This window comes from Homo sapiens, chromosome 9 (genome assembly GCF_000001405.40).
Source record: "Homo sapiens chromosome 9, GRCh38.p14 Primary Assembly".
NCBI classification, from domain to species: domain Eukaryota; kingdom Metazoa; phylum Chordata; class Mammalia; order Primates; family Hominidae; genus Homo; species Homo sapiens.
In genome coordinates this window covers 92,375,608-92,382,524 of record NC_000009.12, presented here as the reverse complement: position 1 = coordinate 92,382,524, position 6,917 = coordinate 92,375,608, and the positions used below count along the sequence as shown (strand labels likewise).

The window sequence follows — 6,917 nt, the reverse complement described above, 5'->3', positions numbered from 1 at the left end:
GGTCTCCATCAAAATTTAAAACTTTTGGGAGAGATTTGTTAAAGGATACAAAATTACAGCTAGATAGGAGGAATAAGTTCTATACCATTGTAAGATGACTATAATTAACGATAATATATAGTTTCAAATAGCTAGAAGATACTGACGGTTCCCAACACAAAGAAATGATAAATGTTTAAGCTGATGGAAATGCTAATTACCCTGATCTGATCACTATACATTATATGTATTGAAACACCACTATGTACCCCATGAATATGTAAAATTACTATTAGTCGATTAAAAATTAAATAAAAATAAATTTTAAAAATTAAAAATTTCTGCTCATCAAAGGACACTATCAAGAGTCAAAAGACAACCCAGAGAAAGTATTTTGAAATCATATATTTAAGAGGAAATTAATATCTAGAATATATAAAGAACTCTACAATTCAACAACAAAAAACAACCCAATTCAAAAATGGGCTAAGGACTTGCACAGACATTTCCTCAAAGATATACAAATGGCCAACCAGCATATAAAAATACATTTAACATCACTAACCATTAGGAGGATGTAAATCAAAACCACAGTGAGATATCACTTCCTACCCATTAGGTTGGCTATAGCCAAAAAAAAAAAAAAAAGCAGAAAATAACAAGTATTAAAGTAGTTGTAGAGAAATTGAAGTACTCGTGCTTTGCTGGTGTAAAATGGTACAAGCACTGTGGAAAAGAGTATGCGGTTCTTCAAATAATTAAACATAGAATTACCATATGATCCAGCAATTATATTTCCAGGTATATCATTACACTTAAAAGAATTGAAAGAGGTGCAAACAGATATCAGTACACTAATGTTCACAGCAGGATTATTCACAATAGCCCAAAAGTAAAAACAACCAGTGACCATCAGCAAATGAATGGATAAGCAAAATGTACATACATTTAATGGAATATGATCCAGCCTTAATAAAAAGGCAGGGGGAGGGCACTGGGCTTGGGAGGCCAAGATAGGTCAATTGCTTGAGCCCAGTAGTTCAAGACCAGCATGGGCAACACGGCGAAACTGCATCTCTACGAAAAATACATAAATTAGCTGACATGGTGGCGTGTGCCTGTAGTCCCAGCTACTTGGGAGGCTGAGGTGGGAGGATCACCTGAGCCAGGGACAGTCAAAGCTGCCATGAGCCGTGACTGCACCACTGGACTCCAGCCTGGGTGACAGAGTGAGACCCTGTCTCAAAAAAAAAAAAAAAAGAAAAGAAATCTGACACATGCTATGACATGGAGAAACTTTGAGGACATTATGCTAAGTGAAAAGACACTCCACATATATGAGGTACCTAGAATAGTCAAATTCATAGAAACAGAAAACACAACAGTGGTAGCAAGTGCTAAGAGAAGGCAGGAATGAGGAGTTAATGTTTAATGGGTATGTTTCAGTTTGGGATGATGAAAAACTTCTGGAGAAGGACAGTGGTGATGGTTACAAAACAATGTGGATATTGGTGACGGTTACAGGACAATGTGATAGGTTTTTTCCACCCTAGTAATTTTATAACTAGCAAAGACCAGCTCCTAGAAGCTCTTTACCCTCCATAAGAAAAATACACCAATTATACTTCATACCTGACTGGAAAGCACGTAGAGTCAAATCAGCTTTGGAAATGGAGACTAGTGCTCCCATTTTCCATCACCCATTCAAATGCATAAGGAAACAGCAACATTAGGTGATTCATCTATTACCATAACTGCCAGCACACTCCCTGGTCATTACTGTATTATAACACTTGTGAAGCAGAAATATTTAATTTTTCTGGCATTTTAAGACTACCTATGATCGAATATAACAAAATCATGAGAACACCTCAAGGTACTATAGTACAGAACTGCCCATGTTTCTTTGTGGAAAAAAATCCTAGGCCTGACAGATTTTATTAGCTCAACCAAATAGAATAAATAATAATAAGAAACAATAGAACCCCAAATAAAGGAGAGTTAGTACAAGTCCTAAAAACAATATTCATGATCTGGTTAGGCTTTTGAGAGAATCTGAACCCTGAAATATTATTTAAGTTGACTTTCAGAACTGGTTGCTGTGTGGATTAATGCTGTCAATAATTTGATGCTATCCAAATGAGTAGAACCTGAGGTATTACGATGCAACCAAACTTAATTTCAGTTATGCCCGAAAACAAAGAAAGGGAATAAAAGGAAGTACTTTAAAGTACCCATATCAGGCTTTAGGAAGCATTACTTCGCAAGAATCAGGCTTTGGTATTTAAACTCGAAATGCACAATTGAGAAGCTGAAAACACAGAGTCTGGCTCAGGAAGTTAGCAGTATACCACTACATGATAAGCCTGCTGTGATGATATTCTTTATTAACATTTGTTGTTTTACTTCAAATACTCTTGAAAGAATGTTTTTCCAAAATGCGGATTTTAAATAAATTTGAATATAACCACACTTCTTTCAAGACATTCCACAACATAAATTGTTCACTGATTTGTACAGAAGTAATCCTCCTCCAGTTATTCCAAATAATTGCAAATTCCAAAAGTCAATGAGAATATTTTCTACTGTTTGAAAGCTTTTAAGAAAAGGATGTTAGGGATGAATTCTCAATTAATATCAGCTTTGTTTTCCATATATGTTTAAATTCAAAGACTTCAGACTTTACCTTGAGATGTTTAAACGTGCGCTTACGATATTCAAACCACTCCACAAAAAAATGCAGGCTTCGGAAAAACATGAACAGATCTTTTCTCTCTTCTGCTCTGTAGGAATAAATGATTCTCTGATTAATAAATATCATTAAATGATAGACCCAATCTAGCTTTATTTCTTTTCCTTTTCATGTATCCTACACTAAAACCAAAAACTTGAAGTAGTTCTACATATCAATTCTTGCACTTGTGTGTGTGTGTTCCTCTGGTATGACTGCTAATGCTACTTTCTCAGCCTAGAATACCCCTTTCCCCATTTTCAAACGTTTAAGTCTACGTATTATTTAAATCACTCAAATGCCACATTCCCTGAAATTTTATTTGATGACTGTAGTATAATAAAGAATAATGAAGAACAGACAGTATGTAAGTGCCAGTTTCTGGCACAGCGCTTTAAAACCCTTGGAACTTCCTGAGTGATAGATGTGTCTTTGTTATGCTAATGAGTTGTCTCATAGTGGCTTCTACGTATTGCAGACTGGAGGCTGTTCACCAGGAAAACACATCAAACACATCACCAAACACATCATTTGAGGGCTAACCAGGAGCACAGCAGAACTTCCTGGTTGATGAATACACTGATGTACTGGGAGGATAATGTGTCTGGATTCCACAAGGAATCTCTGTCTCCCCAACCCCCAGACCTTCGTCTATGCATTACTTCCATTTGGCTGTGTCTGGGTTGTATCCTTCATAATAAAATGCTAATTGTAAGTATAGTGTTTTCAGTACGTTCTGTGAGCGGTTCTAGCAAATTATTAAACCTGAGAGATATGTGGGAACTCCAGAATTTATGGCCAGTTGGTCCTAACTGCAGGTGGACCTTGATACTTGCAGCTGGAGTGTGAAGTGGAGGCACTCCTGGTGGAGACCTCTGCCTATAACTTGTGGGGTCTGTTAGTGTGAGAACTGAACTGAGCTGCAGGACATCCAGTTGGTGACAGAGAACCATTGTCAGAACAATTACCACACCACCACACCACGTATCCTATTCCCTAACAGCTAGAAATAATCTCACTCCTTTGCCTAGGAGAACTCTCACAGGAATGAGTCTTAATTCTCTTAATAGTACATCTATGTTAATAATGTAAGCCACATACACCACAAGTAACTTGAAGGCAAGAACCATGTATCATTTAATCACTCATTTGATAAATGATTGCGGGAGTTGAGTTCCTGTACCAGTAATGATAGAGTAAGCATATTCCACCCCAATGCTTCCGTTAACTATAATTTAAAACCATGAACACAGCACATAAAGCAAACATCAGAAACTCTGAAATGTGGAATGAAGAAAGCAGGACAGGTAGAGTCTTCAGGAATCAAGGGAGGACCTGGAAAAGAATTCCTTAGGATTTATTTTTGCCTCCTGTATATCCCAGTCTGTACACAGGAGCAAACTGCAACCCAGAATTACCAAAGGGTACATTAACAACAACAATAACCCAAAAGGCCCCAGGAAAGACCATTCCCTCTAACCAACGGAGATCATGCAAAATGAGAAGAAACAGGCCTGGCAGAAGGGAACCCCAATGCCAAAAAGGAGCTGTGCCCCTTTCACTCCTAATCAGGCACTTTAGCCACAGAGGCTGAGGTGTGAAGCCTGTCAACCATCACTGCCAACAATAAGAAAAGCAGGCAAAGCAGAGTCCTCACCTCCCAATCGGGTACTGCTATTGGAAAGACTGAGAGAGGAAGCTTTGTCAGCTAGCCCCAACTGACACCAAGCAAACATAAGCAAAGAAAGGATGTCATTTCTGATCTCAACCAGCATGGCAGCTGCACACACAGTGGGTTGCTCTGTTAACTTTCCACACCCTGCACTTAAGTCATCCCAAGAAGAGATAAGGGAGAATCAGAGAAGAGGAGCCTTCAGACAAGAATCTTTTACATCTGTTTATGAAATCCTAAATAACCCCTACATAAAACGAACCAGAATCTACACAGAAAAAAAATACTGAGAACTGAATTATAGTATAGAATAATTTCCAGAATTCACATTGGCCTCAGGATAGTACATAAGTAGGGCAGACCACAATAGGATATTGAACTACAGACTAAAGTGGGCTAGGGTGTGCTTTTGAATTAGAAATTCAACAATAAGAACAAAAAAATTTTGGCAAAATAGGAAGTGCTGGGGTCATCCTGTCTCAGAAACACTGAAAACTACTGCATAGCTGTCAGAATCACTTTTACTGGAATTTGGGAAGAGAGTAAAAAGCTTACAACTGAGAAAACACTTAATCAGAAAAAGGGCAACTGAAAAAGGCTAAGAGCGTTTTGTAGTACTGTAAGATACCCTTGCCACACTCCCTACCTGGCCACAGTAGCAGTCTTAAAGATAGCATGCTACTTTACTAGCCTGAGAACCTAATCCTGACAACAGTCAAAGGGATCTTATTCTCAAGGAATTGTTTGTCTTGACTTGGTTCCCAAGTAAAAGAGACCTCATTCCCAAGGAATCGTTTTGATTCAAGGGGTCTGACTGCATTTCAGCTAAGTCAGAACTTTCTTGCAATTGATACAGGAGCTAGAAAGAAATTATTTAGGTAGATAGTGAGGGTTAAGGAGCCCTCAGAAAGGCTTCCCTTTTAATAAAAAGCAGCCCCCAAATCATTTCTTTTCTAACAAAGAGCAGCCTGAAAAATAGAGCTGCAAACATAGATAAGCAAGCTAGAAGTTTGCACAGGTAAATGCTCTGCAATAGAAAAGGGATACCTGGAAGCCAAGTATGTTAAACATGGAGGCTCCATCTTCCCTTTTCTTTCTTTTTTTTTTTTTGAGACTAAGTCTCACTCTGGAGTGCAGTGGTGCAATCTCGGCTCACCAAAACCTCCGCTTCCTGGGTTCAAGTGATTCTCCCGCCTCAGCCTCCCAAGCAGCTGGGATTACAGGCGTGCGCCATGATGCCTGGCTAATTTTTTTGTGTATTTTTAGTACAGACAGGGTTTCACCATATTGGCCAGGCTGGTCTCGAACTCCTGACCTCAGGTGATCTGCCCACCTTGGCCTCCCAAAGTGCTGGGATTACAGGCGTGAGCCACTGCACCTGGTCTCCATCTTCCCTTTTCTTTGTCACCACGTGTACAGTAAAAAAGCAGGCAACATGGCGCTGGCCCAGTAGAGAACCCATCTGCATAATAAAAGATTAGGGTGGGGCGGCCAGCTTCTTCACATCCTATGCAAGCGGTACACCTGGTCTGACCAATTTTTTGTGCCCTATGTAAATCAGACACTGCCTCCTCAAGCTCATCTGTAAAACCTGCATTTGACTGTGGAAGCGGCAACCCATTTTCTCTGGGACCCCTCTCTGTGCAGACAGCTCCTCTCCTTCTTTCACCTATTAAATATCCACTCTTAACCTCACAGTGGTGTGTTCATGTCCTGGTTTTCCGTGGCTGTGGGACAATGAACCTTGGGTATTACCCCAGACAACAATGCTGCTTCACCATGAAGACATAGCTACACAGGGGATGTTTTTCAAAAATACTAAAAGGCAAATTAACAAGTTGCTGCTGTGTAGGGCAAAAGCACAGTTGAGACAAACAACAGATATGCTGAAAGCCAAGGAAAGAAAAGGTAGGGAATGAGAATCTTTGGGGAATAAAGTCTTGGAAAAAGTGCTCAAGTATACCAGGGAACTAGAAAGCCACTTGAATGCTCAGGGCAGAATGCATGCTTAGAAGAGATCTGAGGGGAGCATAACTTCAACCTCTGGCTAATCTCTAGGCTAAGGACAGGACTAAGGCAGGGTTGTGAAAGACCTGGCTAAGCACTGAAGTAGTGTCCCCATACAGAACCAAAATGCACAGACCTGGAGAAGATATCTTTTTTTCTTATTTTTTTCCTTTTTGCCCATCATAATATTCAAAATGTACAGTATTTAATGACAATAACAAAAAACTAAGCATGCAAAGAAACAAGAAAATATGGCCCAGTCATAGGAAAAAAAAAAAAAGAAATTAACAGAAACTTCTCCTGTTGAATGACTAGGGGAATTACTAGGCTATGATTTTAAATCAACTGTCTTAAATATGTTTAGAGAACTCAAGAAAATCAAGAGAACAAAGTATGCAACAAACAGGAAATGGCAATAAAGAGAGAAATTTTTTTAAAAGAAATAGAAATTTTAGAACTGAAAAGTACAACAAATGAAATTAAAAATTCACTAAAGGGGCTCAACAGCAGATTTGAGTGGGCATAAGA

At 39.0% G+C, this 6,917-nt stretch overlaps 1 protein-coding gene across 6 annotated transcripts in view; it reads right to left on the bottom strand.

Annotated features, from left to right (window-relative positions):
* CENPP (centromere protein P) overlaps positions 1 to 6,917 on the bottom strand; it is a 295,062-nt gene that overhangs the window by 238,005 nt on the left and 50,140 nt on the right. For 4 of the 6 annotated variants that reach the window (NM_001286969.1, NM_001012267.3, XM_011518689.2 and 1 more), the window contains one exon: positions 2,666 to 2,762. In NM_001286969.1, the coding sequence (NP_001273898.1) occupies positions 2,666 to 2,762 (97 nt within the window). Of the gene's footprint in view, positions 1 to 2,346; positions 2,763 to 6,917 lie in introns of those variants that run through there. The other 2 variants (XM_047423391.1, XM_047423392.1) reach the window with 1 other exon arrangement.